This window comes from Homo sapiens, chromosome 17 (genome assembly GCF_000001405.40).
Source record: "Homo sapiens chromosome 17, GRCh38.p14 Primary Assembly".
NCBI lineage: Eukaryota > Metazoa > Chordata > Mammalia > Primates > Hominidae > Homo > Homo sapiens.
The window spans coordinates 70,136,963-70,158,482 of NC_000017.11; the positions used below are offsets into that span (position 1 = coordinate 70,136,963).

The 21,520-nt window shown below is 38.9% G+C and overlaps 1 long non-coding RNA gene across 1 annotated transcript; it reads right to left on the minus strand.

Annotated features, from left to right (window-relative positions):
- Positions 1 to 1,274: 1,274 nt before the first annotated feature.
- On the minus strand, positions 1,275 to 21,283 carry LOC105371882 (uncharacterized). Its single transcript, XR_934953.3, has 4 exons — positions 21,116 to 21,283; positions 20,311 to 20,471; positions 13,937 to 14,031; positions 1,275 to 1,471 (listed from the first exon to the last, which is right to left on the minus strand). It is a non-coding gene; the product is annotated as an uncharacterized LOC105371882 (long non-coding RNA).
- Between the last annotated feature and the right edge of the window lie 237 nt (positions 21,284 to 21,520).

Below are 21,520 nucleotides of genomic sequence, written 5' to 3' on the forward strand. Positions count from 1 at the left end.
TTTCAAAGGAGTTGAGGACATGCCACTATCGTAAGACACACACACAAAGGATTGCTTTTGGCCTGGAAATCCCTCTGAGATGCTGGTGGTGGAGTGACCTTGATAAAAGGATTAACCAGGCCCACTGCTCTTTTGCTTCTTTCTTCCCCCCAACATAAAATCCACAGAAACCTGGATAAAGCAGGCACTGTACAACTTGGGCAAAAAATAAAACTGCTAATACTGTCTCAGACCCTCTATCCCTCACCAAGACCAAACTTCATCCATTTAGAATATTTGAGAGGATTTTTAATACACACAAAGGAATCCAGATTTTTCTTTAAATATTTGTATTTCATCATTTCTGAGTGGGCCAGGACATGTGCTGAGTGGATTCTCTGGGCCACTTTTATGTAAATTTTTAGGCACCAGATTCTACTCAGTTTAATATATTCTATCTATTAGTCTCATCAGTTACAAGCCTTGATTCTTCTGTTCTGAATGTTCTGTAAGGCGTGTGCAAAGTCCTGTGTCTTTTAAGGTAAGACTTGCCTGTGGATATCTAGAAACCACGCCTATTCACCCTGCGTACTCTATAAATCACAAAGCCCTGACTCAATTCTAAAATCAGCGTGGCCTCTCTCTCTCTCTCACTTTCATTTTTAAAGGAGCAGTATGACCCAGGCTCCCGAGAAGAGAGCTTCTGGCTCCACATGCAAAATGCAAGTTAGTGTTAACACAGAACACACAGATTATGCAGCAGGGAAGCACTTGGTAAATTCCTTTCAAATGTTCCCCTAGATAGGAGGTCTTTGAAAGCAAAAACTAGTAACCGAGATTCAGTCCAGATAAATCTGTGGGCAGACAGCAAGTGAGGTCCCCTAGAAGGGGCATTTTCCTAAAAAGACATAATCATAATGCTGCCCAGAAACCATCATTGGTCTGCATTACTTTGTACCTTTTCTTCAATCAGAAAAACCTTATCTACCAGTAAATTCCCAAGTGTTTTCTTTCACTGCTCTTGGTTTCCTAAAGCAACTGAACGCACTCCTCTTATGACTATGCGGTTGGGTCATGAGATTTGGCTTGGAGTAAGCAGCCTCTTGCCTCATCCTGCCACCCTGTGCTTCTTTCCTTGGAAATGTCCAAGCTTGTGGTTTGGGATTCTCTGTGCAGAGTTTTGAGACTTATGTCGACACCTCTACATGTTTTGAAATTCAATAGATTGAGTTGCTGAGCACCTAGCAGGGATGGTAGAAAAAACAAAAATAGAATGAATAAAATAAACTATGGCCTTTTCCTGTTGGGTCTCATTGATTTATTCTACTTTGTAAATATTGTAACGTAAAAGGATACCATGTCCAGGGTCTGTCTGCTGTCCCAAGAAAAAGCAGCTGGACTGAGCTGGAGAGTCTTCCAAATAAATAAGACAATCTGTGCTGGGTAATCACTCATCTCAGGCCTGGAGTGGAAACTCTGGGGACGCTTCAGGCTGCAGAGAAACAGGTTAATTATTTAAAGTATTTCAGCAAGCCTGATGGATGAAAACTCAAACAAATAGATTAAGTCTTGCTAAATTACATAGCCAAAGAATGCTGGTTTTTGTTTTTTTTTTTTTTTTCCTCTATGCTATCATTTACCACAGGGGCCAATGAAAGGTCTTTAATCACTGTCTAAGTAACCTGAACTTGAGACAGAAAGGGCCCCTGGAGATTTAGTCACTGTGAAAACTTCTTTACAGCAAGTTATCAGAAATCTTCAACTTTCCACATAAAATACTTCAGTCACATGCGATACTCACTGTGGTTAAATGCCCTTTATTTGAATTAGAAGCACATGTTGAAGATCAATTATTTATTGTGCTGCTGGTTGATTCTTTCTGACACTAGTTGGCCTGGGGAAGGGAGGCTAGTCATAGGGGCCGGGTTAAGGACAGAGCTAGCCTCTGCTAGCCGCCAATTCCAGAACCAAAGATTTTTAGGATATCAGGAGGACATCAGATCCCTTTTTATGTAGGAGGAAACCTCCAACTCGGGAGTTATCTGCCTAAAGAGTGACAGACATGGAGGGACGGAAGAAGAAAACACAATTACCAATGGCCAACCTGGGGCAATAAGCAGACCTGATGCTGCCCAAAGTTGAAGTATTGCTATTTTTTAATCAGTAAATAGCGCAAATGATCATTTCGAGACCCTTTGTTAAATAGCAAGCTAGTATTTTCTAGAAGTGCTATTGATCATTAAGTATTTAAAGAAGTGGCCGGGCACGGTGGCTCAGCCTGTAATCCTAGCACTTTGGGAGGCTGAGGCGGGTGGATGACCTGAGGTCAGGAGTTTGAGACCAGCCTGGCCAACGTGGTGAAACCCTGTCTCTACTAAAAAATACAAAATTAGCTGGACGTGGTGGCACGCACCTGTAATTCCAGCCACCTGGGAGGCTAAGGCAGGAGAATCGCTGGAACCCGGGAAGCGGAGGCTGCAGTGAGCCGAGACCATGCCGCTGCACTCCGGCCTGGGTGAGACTCTGTCTCAAAAGGAAAAAAAAAAAAAGTATTTGGAGAAGCTGGGAAAACAAAGGTAAAAAAAAAGAAATGTGGGAGGCAGCTGGTAAGAGTCATGATAAAGGAAGATAAACTTCTTCAAAATGTGCACAAACAACGATTGAATAAAAAAAAAAAAGCTCACACCTTTTCAGGGAAATGCTAATGTACAGTGAGGCACACCTATGTACACTGATTTATTGCCACCAAACCTTTTACCTTGGAAGCAGAAATGTTTAGTCTTTTGGCAGGGCCGGCCTTAAAGCATAAGCAAACACAAGGAGCAACAGGTTTTTTTGGGTTTTTTTTGGTTTTGTTTTTTTTGGGAGCAACAGGGTTTTTTTTTGTTGTTGTTTTTGTTTTTATCATTAAATGGAAGTGCTCCCTTCTTGAAACAAGTGCTATGAAGAAAACAGCCCAACCTGAGAGAATCACACAGATTTGGTCTGGATACAGCCACTTATTAACTGTGCCACCTGGAGCAACTGAGCTGCTGTCTCCAATTCTCAGTTTCCTTAGCTATAGATTTCCTTTCTGTATTAAGCTACAAATTTAAGGGTGCAGAATTAAGAATCAAATGCCTTAAGTTTGAATTCTAGTTCTTCTTCTTTCTTTTTTAAAAAATTAATTATTATTATTATTATTATTTTGAGATGGAGTCTCACTCTGTCACCCAGTCTGGAGTGCAGTGGCATGATCTTGGCTCACTGCAACCTCCACCTCCCAGGTTCAAGCAATTCTACCACTTCAGCCTCCAAAGTAGCTGGGATTAAAAGTAGCTGGGATTACAAGCGTGCGCCACCACACTCAGCTAATTTTTTTTTATTTTGTAGACATGGAGTTTTGCCATGTTGGCCAGGGTGGTCTCGAACTCCTGACCTCAGGTGATCCACCTGCCTCAGCCTCCCAAAGTGCTGGGATTACAGGCGTGAGCCACCATGCCCAGCCTAGTTCTACTACTTTCTTACTGTGTGACTTTGGGCAATTTACTTAACCTCTCTGGGCCCAAGTTTTCTCAACTGTGAAGTAAAGAAAATAACAGTACCCACCTTACAATTGTTAAAAGGGTTAGTGAGAAAATATTTATAAGGTCCTTAGAAGAATGCCTAGCACATAATGAATGCTAATACAGTGTAGGCAATTAATACTGCCAGCAGCAAACTCATCTCTTTTGGTGTTTCATAATTTACATTCCTTAACTTTTAACATTGACCTAATCAAAAAAACAAACAAAAAATTAAAAAGGAGAAATCACGCAACGATTTTAGTAGAAGAAATATAAATTATTCCCAATCCAAGTGTAAATTGTTTCCGTACTATCTGACCAAAATTACTTTGGATGATTTATATCATACATCCTTTCCATTGTGGGAGGCATGAGCATTCAGTAAAATACAGTTTTGAAAATAAAATACTACTCTACTCAGATACACCTAAAGCTTAGTGAATAGCAACAAACAGAGGAAAAATCAAACTGCATAAAATACAGGATAATCCTCCTGCATTATCTACTTACTGGGCATTAAATTAAAGCCATTTCCAAAAGTACTTAACTGCTTCATATCATAATAACATGTGTTATTTTCAAACTGTTCAACATGTTCCTGTTAAATTGGAGGGGTCCTGAGAGGAGTAGGCTTATCATGCCAAAATAACATATCACTACTCAACTAAGCTGCTGCTCATTGAACTCGAAAAACCTCACTGGCCTATGCTGTGCCAGTGGACCCCACAGAACTAAAAACTGCTCACAAGACAGAACCACACCTCATGTTGGGAAAGAACAGGTGTGTTGAGCACATTTGAGATGGGAGAAGAACAATTCATCTTTTTCTCTAAAATATGACATACTTTTGTAGTAAGATCATGGCTAAATCAGGCAGAAGTGGATTCAAATTCCTTTTTTAAAGGTGTGCCCCTTGGCAGCTGTATGAACTTTGGTAATTTTCTAATTGTCATTGAGCCTTAGTTTCTTCATGAGTGTAAGTGGAGCTAATCATATTTACCTGTGGGCTCTCTCAGTCCATGTTGTGCTGCTTATAACAAAATACCACCAACCAATTAACTTGTAATGAACAGAAATTTATTGGCTCACGGTTCTGGAGGCTGGGAAGTCTAAGATTGAGGGACAGCCTCCTAGTTGTGTCATCCCATGGTAGAAGTTGGAAAGACAAGAAAGGGCAAAGGAGAGAGAGGAAAGGTGACAAAGTCTCCCTTTTACAACGAATCCACTCCTGTGATAAAGGCGTTAGTCCACTCATGAAGGCAGAGCCTCCATGGCCTCTTCACCTCTTAAAGGTTTCACCTCTTAATACTGTTACAATGGCAATTCAATTTCTACATGAGTTTTACAAGGAACAAACATTCAAACTATAGTATGGGCTAATTGCAGAGTATGTTAGGATACCTTTACACACAAACACATATATATGAACATACCTATATATATATGTGTGTATGTATGCTTATATACATGTATATATATGTATGTATAGACAGACACACATCTAACTATCTGGCAGATAGGAGTTATTCAGTAAATGAATATTCTCTGTTTTCTTCCATATATATTAGTAATAGCAAGGTATTTCAGAGGAATTTGAAAGCAAAAGCATTATTAGCGGTAGGATAGTAATGCTCTACTGATTATCACAATTTTAAAAAACGTCTTATGTTTTTATCTTGATATGTGGTTGATGTATGAGATCATAGTCTCCTCCTGCTCCCAAGGGAAATTGATTTCCACCTCAGGGCTGCCATTAATGAGCTGTGGGTTTTGGGGGAGTTAACCTCCTTGGTCCACTATTTCTGAACATTGATGACATGGATGTTCTTTAAATTACTTTACGGTTCTTTACAGCCACAAAATGTGCTGATTTTTCCTCGCTCTACTTGTAGCCCTGATTTTTTTGTTGTTGGCTTACAATGCTTTTATTTCATTGCCACATTGCTATGGTCTAAATGTTTCTGTCCCCTCCAAATTCCCATGTTGAAATCCTAAGCCCCCAAGGCCATGGTATCCAGAGGTGTGGCCTTTGGAAGGTGATTAGCTTATGGGGGTGGAGGCCTCATAAGAAAAATTAGTGCCCTTTTAGAAGAGGCCTGTGTGAGACCGCTCACCCCTTCTACCCTGTGGAAACACAGTGAGAAGGTGCTGCCTCTGACCCAGAAAGTAGACTCTCACCAGACAATGAATCTGCCTTGATCTTGGACTGTCAAGTCTCCAGAACTCTAAGAATTAAATTTCTGTTGTTGATAAGCCATCCAGTTTATGGCATTCTGTTATAGCAGACTGAACAGGGTTAGATACATATGTATTTTAGTGCAGTATTTTCTATTCTCATAAGTACTGTACCATCTGAATTCAGCTGGAAAGTTCCAATTTTACAATACTTTGTGCAATTTTAAAAATCTTTCTTTAATGTACAACTCACTGTGATGTACATTTTATACATCCCATGATAATAATTTGACAATTCAGTTAAAGTTATATTTGTTGAATTTAGTTTTCAGTTCTGCTATTACTGCCCTTTTCTAAAATTGGGTCTATTTTAAACAGGAAAATTGAAGCCATTTAAAAACACCACAAAATTTGATTTCAAAAAAGATAAAATATTGCTTTTACAATTGTAATGGCAGGAAGCAAGTAGCATAATGAAAAATGTAATAACCATAGTAGAACACTAAAATTCTAATGGGGACACCTTACGCTCATGACATAAACTAATAAAAGGCATCATCATACATGTTATTTTGTAAAATGCCAGAATTCTTAATCTAGGGAAGTTGGGGGAAAATGCTCATTTATGGGATGCTACTAACCCTTCATGTTATTATAAAGGAGTGCATCAGGGCCGGGCGCAGTGGCTCACGCCTGTAATCCCAGCACTCTGGGAGGCCTAGGAGGGCAGATCACGAGGTCAGGAGATCGAGACCATCCTGGCTAACATGGTGAAACCCCGTCTCTACTAAAAATACAAAAAATTAGCCAGGCATGGTGGCGGGCGCCTGTAGTCCCAGCTACTGGGGAGGCTGAGGCAGGAGAGTGGGGTGAACCGGGGAGGTAGAGCTTGCAGTGAGCCGAGATGGCGCCACAGCACTCCAGCCTGGGTGACAGTGAGAGTCTCTGTCTCAAATAAATAAATAAATAAAAAATAAAAAGAAGTGCATCTTCAGGTGGGTGATTTGTCTGACGAATGGCAAACTGTACCTGGCTAGCCTGTATTTCATTTTAACTTGGGGAAAAGGTGGTTTCTCTTGTATACCTTTCCAATGAGTGTAGCTCACCATCATTGCAACACCTAGATTCCCAGGCATCAGTGGTCTCCCAGTCTCCTGAACATGATGAGAGATGGCCTGTTCTCAATACAAAGCCATCATGAAATAAATGCAGGGCACACTGGGCTATTCTGGGTTCTTTTCCCAATATTGTGCCTGGCATGAAATGCAGAAAAACAGCAACTTTCAATGGACAAATTTGAACCTGTAGTGTAAGCCGAAGTTTCTGGAATGGTATTTTTATTCTTATATTATAAATAAATGTTAGCATGGTCATGAAATAACTAAGACTGAATGGAGAGCAACATTAGATCCATTGAACAATATAACTTTGTGTTTATCCTTCTTCAAAAGTGTAACTTATTATTTAAGTTATTACTGTTTGTTTTAAACCTTTGAATAATACATAAAATGATAGCTCTGTGGACCTGCTTGTCCTGGTGGGGCTGGAGATTGGAGGAAAAAAAAATATTAATGATGTTGCAGGCAGAAAGAAGACAAAAACTAAACAAAAGCACTTCGCCTTTTCCCCAAAGGTTGGGGTGATATTTAATTATGAAATGTCATAATTGTAGTGATAACAAGATTAATAATAACAATTATGTAAATGCCTCTGGTAATTGCAATTCTATTAGGAGGCTGAGTATTTTTGGTCACTATTGTGCCACCTTGTGGTCACAAGAGAACACATGTTTTTTCCATGAAGTAAATCCATTAAGTTTTAATTTATCCCCGACTGCTATGGAATGATATTTGGAAAAATAACTTGGAATGCTCGGTGTCAATAATACCGATAAACAAAATATAATGGACACCATTCAAGTCAGAAAATAGCAGGCACTGAAAAGCAACAAATAACATTGTTCTAAGTATAGATTCCATGTGCTAGATTTCCCCCAGCTACCTCAACATGGATTACATATTTAGAAGATAAAATTGTAGTTTCTTTAGACTGCCATTCTCAATCTACAAATATAGACATGAAACTCTGGATGACATCCGTTGAGCATCTAATAAATAATTCAACACTCTATTTATTGCAAGGGAAGGCAGCCAAAATGTAGGTATCGATTACCAATATTGTGTTAAAATAATCACGCTAATGCATGTATAGGTATAGCTTAATAAACATGATTTTAATGGCATGAGTGAATATTTGCTTTATAAATATGTATATTATAATCTCATAATTTATATGCATTTCAAAGAATCGTGATATTTGTTTAAAGGATTTTTCTGTTTTCTAAATCCTGCTTATGTCAGTATCCAGATGTGATGAACTGAGAAAGGTAGGATTAGCCACCTTCCCATAAAGTACTGTCTGCTAGAAACTAAATAATATATTTTGTAACAAATTCAGACATTTAATGGCCACCATCTTATACCATCAGTGCTTATTTGATTAAGGCTGTAGTTTTTCTTTTTAATTAAAGATAAAAATATTAAAAACAAGAAAGTCTCAATAATTCTGTCATTATAAGTAGTGTCTGTGGGTGTATGTTGCGGTGTGTGTGTGTAGAATGGGGGTGGAGGAGGGGGAGAGAGAGAGAGAGAGAGAGAAAGAAGTAGTATATAAGATAATGCATTCTCACAGATATACTGCCGTACTAGTATTGGTTTTAAGTATCTCCATCCATCTCTCTGCCTCTTTGTCTCCGTTTTCTTTGTTTCTTGACCTTATATGTATCTATTTCTCTCTTTTCTCTGATTTTTTTCTACTTATCTTACTCTCTACATATTAGTCTCTCTTTCTCTGTCTCTTTCTGTGTCTGTTTCACTCTCTCATTTAATTTAGATTGAAATCTAGGTGGTCAGGTAATCTAGATTTGAATCCTAGCCCCATGGATTACTAATGGTGTGGCCTTAGAGAAACTCCTCAGGCATCTAAGCCTCAGTTGCTTGTTAAATAGGGGTTAAAGTACTTACCTCGTAAAATTGTTCTCACAATTAAATGAAACATGACATATTGTAAAAGCCCTTAAGACAAAATCTAGCACAGAGTAAATGGCCAATATATGGTGTTTATTTTTATTTTTGTTGTCTGTGAAATATATACATTTTTAGTATTCCAATCTGTACCATCATAAGTTGCTCTAATACTGCCTTATTTATACGTATAATAAGTGACAGATGTAGCTCACAGAATTTTAAAAATGAATCTCCCATGTACCTCTTCTAACCACTTTATCAATGAATCGCTCAAAAGAAGAAGGTGTCTTTCTTATAATCATATAATTATTTAGTAGATCTGATACAGGAATTCATATCTTCTCTATCCTTACACACAGTTCATTGCAATGAATAATAATTCCCAATGTAAATCATGCCTTTTTTAGTAGTCTGTCTTTTCTTTTCTCTTTCTCTTCTTTCTTTCCTTCCTTCTTTATTCCTTTCTTCCTTTTTTCTTTCTTTGTCTTCCTTCCTTTTATATTTCTTTCTCTCTTAAATTAATGCAGCCAGTGACATAACAATTTTCAACAAGTACTCGATTTTTATAAAATTCATTAATTCATGCATTCATATATACCATGTGTCAGATCATGTGTAGACATTTTGAAGGTAATAATGAACTAAATAGAAAAAAAGATACTTCCCTCATGAAACTTAAAATACAGTGAGAGAGTGGCTAGGCGCGGTGGCTCACGCCTGTAATCCCAGCACTTTGGGAGGCCAAGGTGGGTAGATCACCTGAAGGCAGGAGTTTGAGACCAGCCTGGCCAACATGGTGAAACTCCATCTCTACTAAAAAGTACAAAGAAAATTAGCTTGGCTTGGTGGTACACGCCTGTAATCCCAGCTACTCGGGAAGCTGAGGCAGGAGAATCGCTCGAACCTGAGAGGCGGAGGTTGCAATGAGCTGAGATAGCGCCACTGCACTCCAGCCAGGGCAACAGAGTGAGACTCTGTCTTGAATATATATAAATATATATATATTGTATATATAATATATATACAATATATATAATATAAAATACAAATATACATATATATTTATATATACATAGTGGGAGAGACAGAAATTAAAGAAACAAATATATTTCCTCCTGCTAAGCCTAATGATGTTTAATTATCAATGGACCACACATACAATGGTAGTCCCATAAGGTTATAAAACCATATTTTTAATGTTTTTTTTTCTGTATCGAGATGCACAAATACTTGCCATTGTGTTGCAAACTCCTACAGTATTCAGTAGAGTAACATGCTGTATAGGTTTGTAGCCTAGAAGCAACAGGCCATATCACAGAGTATATAGTAGGCTATATCATCTATTAATAGTTTTGAGCAAGTACACTCTATGAGGTTCTCACAATGACAAAAATCACCTAATGATGCATTTCTGACAACACGTCACCATTGCTCAGCAATGTATGACTGCAATTTAATGTCAGGTACCATTAAGGGGAATGAAATAAAGAATAAAGAAACGTACCCGTGCAAAGATAAGTTGCCATTTTAAGTAGGGTAGCCAATGGAGGCCTCTGAGTAATGTTTACCCAGATAACCAGAATAGAGAAAGCAAGCCATGTGGATACCTGAAGAAACAGAATTCTAAACCAGTGCAAAGGCCCCGAAGAAGAATTTGAGAATCTGGGGGGGGGTGGCAGTAAAAATGAAGATTCAGTTTTGGCCAGGTTATGTGTCAGATACCCATTTTATACTCAAATGGGGACAAAGAGTAGAAGGTTGTATATGTGAATTTAGAGTTGTGGAAGAAAGATCCATAAGATGCACATTTAGAAACCATCTGTATAGGTAGGTAGGTAGATAGGTAGATGATAGATAGATAGATAGATAGATAGATAGATAGATAGATAGATAATGGATAGATAATGACATAGGCTTGAATAACACCTCCCAGGAATCAAATGGAGATAGGGAATTAGGTTGTGAGATAGAGCTATAAGACATATAACTATATATTTCTTATAATAACTATATATGTCTTATAATTTTGTAAAAAATACAAAAATTAGCTATAACACTGTGAGGTTGAGGCATGTCTTAGTTTATTTAGTGCTGCTATAAAGAAATACCTGAGGCTACGCAATTAATAAAGAAAAGAGGTTCATTTGGCTCACGGTTTTGCAGGCTGTACAAGAAGCATAGTGCTGCCATCTGCATTTGGTGAGGACCTCAGGTTGTTTCCACTCATAGCAGAAGGTGGAAGAGACTTGGCACATGAAGAGATCCTATGGTGAGAGAGAAAGCAAAAGAGCAAGAAGGAGGTGCCGGGCTCTTTTTAACAACCAGCTCTCATGGGATCTTAGTGAGAACTCACTCCCCGTGGGGCCGATTCCTCATGAACAGGTAAATAGAAGGGCATTATTTTATTCATGAGGACTCTGCGCCCATCACCCAAATACCAGGCATTAGGCCCCGCCACCAACATTGGTGATCAAATGTCAACATAAGATTTGGAGGGGACAATATTCAAATGATCGCAAGACATAAGGGAAAAGGCAGAGAAGAATGGTTACTTAAAAGCCAAATAAAGAATGTGATCCAAGGAAGAGAGAGGTGATGGATTGTCAGTGACAGAACCAAGCATCAAATACTTTGGAAAGAATGTCTGGGGTAAATGCTTAACTGAAGAGGGTTCAATAGAGAATGAGAGATGAGAAAGTAGGGAAAATGTTTGAAAAGTCTTGATGCTAAGGAGGGAAGACAAATGAAGTAATAGCTGGAGGGAGATACAGGGTCATTAGAAGCTTTCTTTTTTCTTTCTTTCTTTGTATTTTGCTTTCTTTTGTTAGTGGGAGGTAGTTCAGTATGTTTATGAACAGATGGGAATGATCCCTCTCTAAGGAAAAAATAGATAATGTAGGAGAGAAAGGATAATTAAAGATGCAGAGTCCTTGAATACATGAGAAGGGATCTCGTCTACAAGTAGAGGGAATGGTGAGAGCTCATCTAAACTACAGACACAGAAAGGGAAAAGCATGCACAGGTAGAGACGCAGAGGTGGATTTCATGTTGGGTGAGAGAGAACTGAAGGTTGAAGTTGTTCACTCTGCTTCCATTTTTTTTCAGTGTAATGAGAAGCAAGGTAATCAGATGAGAGTGCAGGATATCGTTAGAGGTTTGAATACAGGCAGGAAAGGTTCAAATACTCATGTCAGAGACTAGGAGATTAAATAGACTAGGACCATTAAACAGGATTGTCAGGCAATATAATAGGATTGTATTTTTAATTTTTTTTTAATTGAAACAGGACATCACCCTGTCACCCAGGGTAGAGTGCAGTGGTGTAATCTTGGCTCACTGCAGCCTCGACCTCCCAGGTTCAAGTGATCTCTCACCTCAGCCTCCCAAATAGCTGGGACTACAGGTGTGTGCCACCATGCCCAGCTGATCTTTATACTTTTTTTTAGAGACAGTGTTTTGCCATGTTGCCCAGACCGGTCTCTAACTCCTGAGCTCAAGCGATCCACCGACCTCAGCCTCCCAAAGTGCTAGGACTGCAGGCATGCATCACTATGCCTAGCTAATTTTTGTATTTTTTGCAGAGACAGGGTGCACTATGTTGCCCAGACTGGTCTTGATCTTCTGAGCTCAAGTGATCTGCCTGCCTCAGCCTCCCAAAGTGCTGGGACTACAGGTATGAGCCACCGGCCAAGATTGTACTTTTAAAGTAACACAAGACTGAGCATGGCTGTATGTTTTTCTTCATCTGTAACATTTGTTTTAAACTTTAGTTTCCAAGAACTGATCCATTGAAAAAAATCCAGCTTTCCAATATAACATGTTGCATTTTTGTGAATGACACATGCACTCACAATTCAATAAAAGAGATGACTAATTTTATCTGCCATTGAAATATTAATTGTGAGGATCTGGGAATACGTGGCTAGATCACCATTACAGGTCAAGAAGAACCTCTTGCTGCTTAAGTATAACAAAGAGCAGGATCCACTGTCTCTGCAATGTGCCAGCTCTTCATCCTTTTTTCTATTTGGTCACATATTACCACAACTGTTGAAGGGAAATAGGTAAAGTGGTTGGGACTCTATCAAAAACACTTATCCTAGCCCATGGATCTGTGTACTGTTTCACAACCTTTCTGGTATATCATATTAAGACATAATAGAAGGTACTAAGTGCTGAATACATGAGCTAGAGAACCAAGAGCTGTTTAAACTAAAATTGTCCTAGAACAGCAGCCACCTGGCTATGTGGGTTGATGCTGGAGCTAAATAGCAATCAATTGAGAAATGAAGATTTCAGTCAAATATTTGTTCATCTTCATAATAATTTTACTTACTTTTTCCATCCATGGATTTGCTGTGTTTTTTCTTACACACTCGTGTACAATGTCAAAACTGGTTCTTTCCCTTAAAGCCAGTCCCCCACTTTTGGCAGTGAGAGTAAAAGCAATTTTTCTTTCTTTTTTTTTTTTTTTTAAGTAGAGACAAGGTCTCCCTACATTGTCAAATTTATGAGCTCAAGCGATCCTCCTACCTTGGCCTCCCAAAATGCTGGGATTACAGGTCTCCCAAAGTGCTGGGATTACAGCTAGCATGCCAGGCCTCCTTAATGGATTTAGTGCCGCCTTCCTTTGGGATATATTCTTTGATATCCCTTTAGAACTAAAATTCGATTTTAAAATTTACTTTTCATGCTTTCAAAATTCACTATTATGGACATGTAGTTAAGTAATACTAAAATCTAATAGGGCTATTTCCAATCAATCAAAACACAAAGAATAAAGATGTTCATTTTTCACGAAAAGTAAGAATGAGAGAAAGGGATGGAATGGATTCCAGTCTGACAATAGCTTTTTAGTGAACAAATGAAGTATTCATAAAGGGGAGTGCGGGTGTATGCTAGAGCATGCATTGTAGCTACTGTCCCAATGAACAGTGTTCAATATATTTTTAAAGTATTGAAAAAAAGGCATTTACAATGGAAACAAATCTTTACCTTAATATACTTTTTTGTGACTGCCATAAACTCAATTGCTATATGTGAATGAGGGATGTTTGATACAATATGTGAATGAGGGATATTTAGTTTTCAGTAAAGCTGATGTTTATCAGGTGGCTACAGTAAATCATTGATTTTTATTAGCTATCATAGCGTATAAGCAAGAGAGAGGCTCTCAAAAACTTGTTGGTATGCTTGTTTACAAATACTTACAGAGGAAACACTCTTGTAAATATAAAATGCACTATCTTCTTATTTCCTGGTTATTTGCAATGAAAGCTGCCAGTCTACTAGGTTTTTCCAGGAGCCTGTATGAAGGAAACCCATATCTATGTTAAGAACATTGTATTGAAAAGATAGAAACACGGTTTTTAAATTCATATGCAGTTACTGGCCATGAAGAAAGCAAGTAATTGTCTTTAGTTTGGCATACTCTACTGAAAACTATAATGATACTAACAATAGTAACAGCATCTTTGGGTGGATCCTAAGAGATATCAGATTAAAGTCACTACGTAAAAAACAAACAGAAGAAATAATGATGTCATGTTGAATGTTATAGGACAGGGATCCCCAACCCCCAGTACAGGTCGATGGCCTGTGGCCTGTTACGAACTGGGCCACAAAGCAGAATGTGAGTGGCAGGTGAGCGAATATTACCACCTGAGCTCCACTTCCTGTCAGATCGGGGCAGCATTTGATTCTCGTAGGAGTGTAAACCCCATTGTGAACTGTGCAGGCAAGGGATCTAGGTTACGTGTTCCTTATGAGAATTTAGGGATAGGTGTAATGTGCTTGAATCATCCTGAAACCATCACCCACAACTGCCCCTCTCGTGTCCGTGGAAAAATGGTCTTCCATGAAACCAGTCCCTGGTGCCAAAATGTTGGGGACCATTGTTATATGACTAAAAACACCAGGTCAGGGAGAATTAAGTTAATAACTGTTATTTAACTGTGCTTGTATCATAATCATTCACATTGTATAACTCCCAGGGGACTTATATTCATGCAGAAGTGCTTAAAATTGATTTTAACAATCATATTTCTAGTAGATCAAATTATTAAGATGGCCAAATGACATAAGGTAAAATTTCTGCCACTTTAGTTGTACCGAAAAGATCACAGAGAAAAGTAACAAGGGAACCTTAAGGAAAGTCTTGTTCAACTCCCTCTTTTGCTTGGAGAATAAAATCAGGATAAGAGAAATGAATTAACTTGTCCATGGAGTTTTGATAAGTATTTAACCTCAATAATCACTAAATGCCTTTTTATTTTATATTTTATTTTATTTTATTTTATTTTTGAGATGGGATCGCGTTGTGTTGCCAAGGCTGGACTGCAGTGGCATGATCACTGTTCACTGCAGCCTTGATCTCCCAGGCTCAAGCAATCCTCCTGCCTCAGCCTCTTAAGTAGCTAATACTACAGGAACATGCCATCAAACCTCGCTACATTTTTAAAATTATTTTTAGTAAAGATGAGATCTCACTGCATGGTTCAGGTTGTTCTCAAACTCCTGGGTTCAAGTGATCCACCTGTCTCAGCCTCCCAAAGTGCTGTGAATACAGGTATGAGCTACCATGCCTGGCCACTAAATCTTTTTTTAAATAAAAATCTTTAGTCCTAAAATATAAAGGATTCAGAAGAATCCCATTTTGTTTGAGGTAATTAGCATAACTGTTTCTATTTCATTGGAATAGATTCTGAAAATCAAGATTTCACCAAAACTTATGGGTCGGTTTTATTTATCTTTAATGTTTGATAAATTTTCTTCCTAGAATTTCTCATGAAATGCAATCATGTATTATTTTTTAATCCCATTCATCTTCATATTTGATTTTTCCCCCTCTGTTGTGTTTTACTTTAATTGATTCCTCAAAGCTGTTCTGAAATTTTTACCCACATCTGCCACCAGATTTGATTGGCTAATTGTCCTCTATGGAAGCACACCCATTATGCAACTGTTATGAAAACTTTTACAACAAATCAATGTCAGGTCAACAAACCCATCAGCCATGATCTCACTGAGAACTAATATTTTCAGGAAGCTTTTCACTTATTTTCAGGGGCTGTCTGTGGGTTTAGCATTTCATATTATTAACAGTGCAATGACAAACCTAGGGCAGGAGAGTTAATAATGGGATGTGCTTTTTCCTCTTGCTTCTAAAGAAAATATTCAAATGAGCAGAAGTTTTAAAAGCCCTGTTCAATACTGAGCTTTTGATATTAAAATAAACTGACAACTTGACTCTGACAGAATAAGATTCAATTAGGCTTAAAGGTAGGTCTAAAGGGGCTCAGGGAGAAATAAATGAACTTCTATTAATTTTTAGAAATAGCTAGTAAGAACAAGTCATTTATGACTTTGTAGTTAAGTTCCTAGAGAAAGTTTACCAAGAATTGCTTTCTATGAGGCATGGTGGTAAAAGCTGCAAAATGAATTATGGTGAAAATATGCATTCTACTTTTTATTTTTCCTTATTAAATCCAGCAAGGGAATTTTCCCGAGCCTCTCCCACTAGTGCATTTTGTTGGTTTAGAAGTGTTTCTGCTTTCACTCATTAAATAGCTAAAGATCAAAATATTATATGAATGATTTAGTTGTTTCTAGACAGATAAAATATTTTCTTCTCCTAATGAGTAGAGAAATATGACTTCCGCATGTCCCGAAAGAGCATTCACCCAGTATTCTTTGTAGCCATCTAAACAAAAGAACAAAATTGCATCATGGTCTTAATAAGAAAAACAAACATAAGAGGTAATGAAAATGGAATCATATCTCTTTTGTATCAGTAAAGTAATAGAGCGTATCAGGTTTTGTTCCTTATTATGAAATAACAAATTTTTAGAGAAAATAGAAAACAAACTTAAGAAAATAAAAACAAATTGTAATCACATCAACTAGGTCACTTGTTAAACTATATATACACATGTGTGTGCCTGTGTGTGTGTGTGTATAATACTGGAGCAAAGACATGGGAGCCTGACCTTCACAAAATGCCATGGGGCCCCCATCAGCCATGGAATACCCATCTCTAAATGTTTTTTCATGAGAGAAAAATATGTCTATTTGGTTAATATATTGTTATTTTGAATTTTTCTATTGTAGACAACTCCAACTAATCTATATACACACATACACATGATCTATTTTGCTTATTGTAAGTTATTTTGCATCATGTTTTATTTAAAAAATATTGCATTACAGTATTACTTATCTTGATTACTGGTGGGTTTTTTTTTTTTTTTCTTTTTGGTGCCTCTTAAATTTTATACCTGAGGAGAGTAGTGCCTTACTTACCTCATCCTAATTCTGGCCCTGAGGTCAAACATAGCAAAAGATAAAAATATAGACATTGATATAAACAGATATAATTTTTAATCAAAAAATAAAATCAAACAATAGTACAATATGCATTCGCGGTGGCTCACGCCTGTAATCCCAGCACTTTGGGAGGCCGAGGCGGGCGGATCACGAGGTCAGGAGATCGAGACCATCCTGGCTAACACGGTGAAACCCCGTCTCTACTAAAAATACAAAAAATTAGCCGGGCGTAGTGGCGGGCGCCTGTAGTCCCAGCTACTCGGGAGGCTGAGGCAGGAGAATGGCGTGAACCCGGGAGGCGGAGCTTGCAGTGAGCCGAGATCGCGCCACTGCACTCCAGCCTGGGCGACAGAGCGAGACTCCGTCTCAAAAAAAAAAAAAAAAAAAAAAAAAATATGCATTCAAAATTAAGTGAAGTTCTTAAACACTTTTCAGGATATAATTTTTTATTGCAAAATAATCCAATTTTTTCAATTATTGCTTTTGCACTAAGTACTCTTAAGTGCAACATTTAATGATCACTAATGAGATCATATTCAAGGTGTTTTGAGTTCTTAAATGCAGTATTTAATGATCTCCAATGAGATCAAATTCATGATGTGTTTAGTTGAAACAACCCAAAGTTAAACATTTGCCTGAAAACTTCACAGACTCCTCTATCCCTCTATGGAACAGCAGGCTTACAACAGTCTAGTGATAGATTTGCAAAAATCAAGAAAATATACAGTGTCGAAAAATAGATCAAAAATTTATCTTCATGGAATCATTCACCTTCATTGATTTTATTGACTGATATTAATAATATCTCTAATTCTATTTTATGAACCCATTTGGAAGCCACTTAATATGTAAGGGTACTTGATCAAAGCATGTCAACTACAATCAGTTTGAACAGAAAATAACATGTATTGGCCGGGCACGGTGGCTCACACCTGTAATCCCAGCACTTTGGGAGGCCAAGGTGGGTGGATCACGAGGTCAGGAGATTGAGACCATCATGGCTAACATGGTGAAACCCCGCCTCTACTAAAAATACAAAAAATTAGCCAGGCATGGTGGCAGGCGCCTGTAGTCCCAGCTACTCGGGAGGCTGAGGCAGGAGAATGGCGTGAACCCGGGAGGCGGAGCTTGCAGTGAGCCGAGATTGTGCCACTGCACTCCAGCCTGGGTGACAGAGCAAGACTCTGTCTCAAAAAAAAAAAAAAAAAAAAAAAAAAAAGAATAATAACATGTATTAGGTTTTCGTTGTGTTTTGTTTTGCTTTTGAGACAGGGTCTCAGTCTGTCACCCTGGCTGGCATGATCACAGCTCACTGCGGCCTTGACCTTCCAGGTTCAAGTGATCCGCCTGCCTCATCCTCTAGAGTAGCTGGGACTACAGGTATGTGCCACCAAACCTGGCTAATTTTTCTATTTTTTGTAGAGATGGGGTTGCTGTATGTTGCCCAGGCTGGCCTCGAACTCGTGGGCTCGAGTGATCCTTCCACCTTGGCCTCCCAAAGTGCTGAGATTACAGGCATGAGTCACCGTAGTCAGACACATTTATTGTTTGTGTACATATTTACAATCATCATTTAGTTCATCCTAAAAAAAACTATCTAAATTTTTTCTTTTTTTTTTTTTGAGACGGAGTCTTGCTCTGTCGCCCAAGCTGGAGTGCAGTGGTGTGATCTCAGCTCACCGCAAACTCTGCCTCCCAGGTTCAAGCAATTCTCTGCCTCAGCCTCCCGACTAGCTGGGATTACAGGTGCCCTATACCACACCCAGCTAATTTTTGTATTTTTAGTAGAGATGGGGTTTCACCATCTTGGCCAGGCTGGTCTTGAACTCCTGACCTCGTGATCCACCTGCCTTGGCCTCCCAAAGTGCTGGGATTACAGGCGTGAGCCACTGCACCTGGCCCTGAATTTTATCTCCACTTTAATGAGGAAGCACCAACATTTAAGTAACTTAGTCAAATTTACTCAGCCTCCAAGAATCAAAATGAGAGACCGTTCTCACATCCTTTTTACTCAATTCAGCCTGATGTTTCATAGCATTACTCTAGGTCAGCAATCAGCAAACTTTTTTTTTAAATAAAGGATCAGATAGTGAGTGTTTTAGATTGTTTGGGCCCACATACAGCCCCTATGTCACCCACTCAACTCTGCTGTTGCAGCTGGGAAGCAGAGACAATCTGTAACTGAATGAACATAGCTGTGCCCCAATAAAACTTTATTCATGAATACACATATTTGAATTTCATAAAACGTTTAAATGTCACAAAACAGTATTCCTCTCTTGATTTTTTGCTACCGTAAAAATGTAAAAACATTCTTAGTTCACAAGCTGTATGTATAAGTTGTGAGCTTGATTTGGCCTATGGACACAGTTTACACACCCTTGTTATTCTTTCCAGAAGGGAACATGTGGTGCCCTCACTTAAAAATATCAGAAAAGTGCAGAGTTTTCTTTTCTACAGGTCTAGTAATATAAGGATGTTCTCTCGTAAAGCATAAATCTCGGTTCTGGGTCGTTTTCCTGACCCAGATAATTTTCCGTCAATAATTCTCTTCCTCGTACTGTTTTTCATGAATAAAAGGAGACAGATACATTTTAGAAAAGCCCATATATATGGTGTAAGGAAAGTCACTCCACACAGAAGAATTGAGGCTGTCTTTTTAAAGAATGGATTATTATTATTTATTTATTTATTTATTTTTTGAGACGGAGTCTTGCTCTATCCTCTGGGCTGGAGTGCAGTGGTGCGATCTTGGCTCACTGCAAGCTCCGCCTCCCGGGTTCACGCCATTCTCCTGCCTCAGCCTCCCGAGTTGCTGGGACTACAGGCGCCCGCCACCAAGCCCGGCTAATTTTTTGTATTTTTAGTAGAGGCGGGGTTTCACCGTGTTAGTCAGGATGGTCTCGATCTCCTGACCTCGTGATCCGCCCGTCTCAGCCTCCCAAAGTGCTGGGATTGCAGGCGTGAGCCACCGTGCCCGGCTTTAAGAATGGATTTTTAAAATAAAAATCTTCCAATTATGCTATTTCTAAATGTCTACTTTTCTCTGGATGTCTACCTTTTCCATTTAAGTTAGTTCTTCATCAGAACTTCTAATACCATCAATTGCATTCAAAAGTCTCCAAGATGGCCCTTCTAAGGTATCTGCTACTCCAGATATTTCAGCCCTGTTGTCAAGAAGCATAGTAGAGGGTTTCCTTGAAGAATTTGTGTGTGGATAGCAGGAAGGAGGAGGAGAGGGGAGAAAGAGAACAGCGTACCATTGATGGGCTATTGTCAGAGCAGCTGCTGTGTCAGTGGCATCTGTGGGCTCTCCAGGCGAATACACAGCCACCCTGATACATCCATGGCCAAAGGCAAAAGAGCAACTTCTCCTCTCTGTGGCAGCAGATGCCCCTGTTCTTCAGTTGATGAAAAAATCCTAGCAGAGGAAAAGGAAAGACAGAGGAAAGGAGATTGTTGGGTTGTTAAGAGATATGAGCAGGAGGGAGAGGTTGCAACCCACTTCTCCGCCCGCTTTCTGCTGGCCCCAGAGAACCCTATACTGTGAGCTCAGTTTGTAACTAGCTTATTCACCTAGGGATGACTCTATTGCAGGGCTAGGACAGAGAGGACTGAGGCACTGGCTTCGTTTAGTCTTTGGTGCATTTGATCTCACCTATAAAAGGAAACAAATGTGTGTCCTTTATTTGTCCCCAACTACTTTTCATTTGCTTAAGACAATCCTCTTCCTATATTTTGCAAAGAAAAAGGCAGAGCACTCTGCCTCATGGAAGGCAATGGTATCAGGGCCAGCTTTTTTTTTTTTTTTTTTTAACTGAGGCCACTGCAGTAGCTTTTATCTACTCACAGTTCTTTCTGGAGTCAAGGCCTCTGGCTATTTAAGCCATCTCCCTTCTTAGCAAGTTAAGATTGGGACAAAACAATTATAATTCTAGAACTTGTCAGCTTGAATCGAACCATCACAAACCAATCACACAAGGCTGCTCCCTTCAGCCCAATCGTTGAGATGATTTTCCCACGACCTGGAATGGACTTTTTAGATCCTTTGGAAAGAAAACTCACCGGCAAGTACATCTCTCTGTCTATAGGTCCTTTCTATCCAGAAATTTGTTGAGATCATTGGTAGTGGGTGAAAACATGTCCTTTAGGGAGAAGGTTTTTTAGACCAGAAGCATTAGTTATGGAGGTTGTCATTGTTGTTGTTTCTTCCAAGGAAGAGAATAAAAGTGTAATCACACTAGGTCATGTGTAAATTTATGCTGTTTTTACTGGCTCTTAACCCTTTTCCTTCCAGGAATTGTTAAGTTCCTTTGCAGTCATATATCAGCCCTTGGGTATGTTCTCACCAAGGGTGACTGTTTGACGGTAAGGTCCCCTCAGTAGACCAACAGAATACAAGTCAGGTCATGGAACTGATTCCCTGGAAATTACGTAAGAGAAATAAATACCCTGGTTTTTGTACAGAGA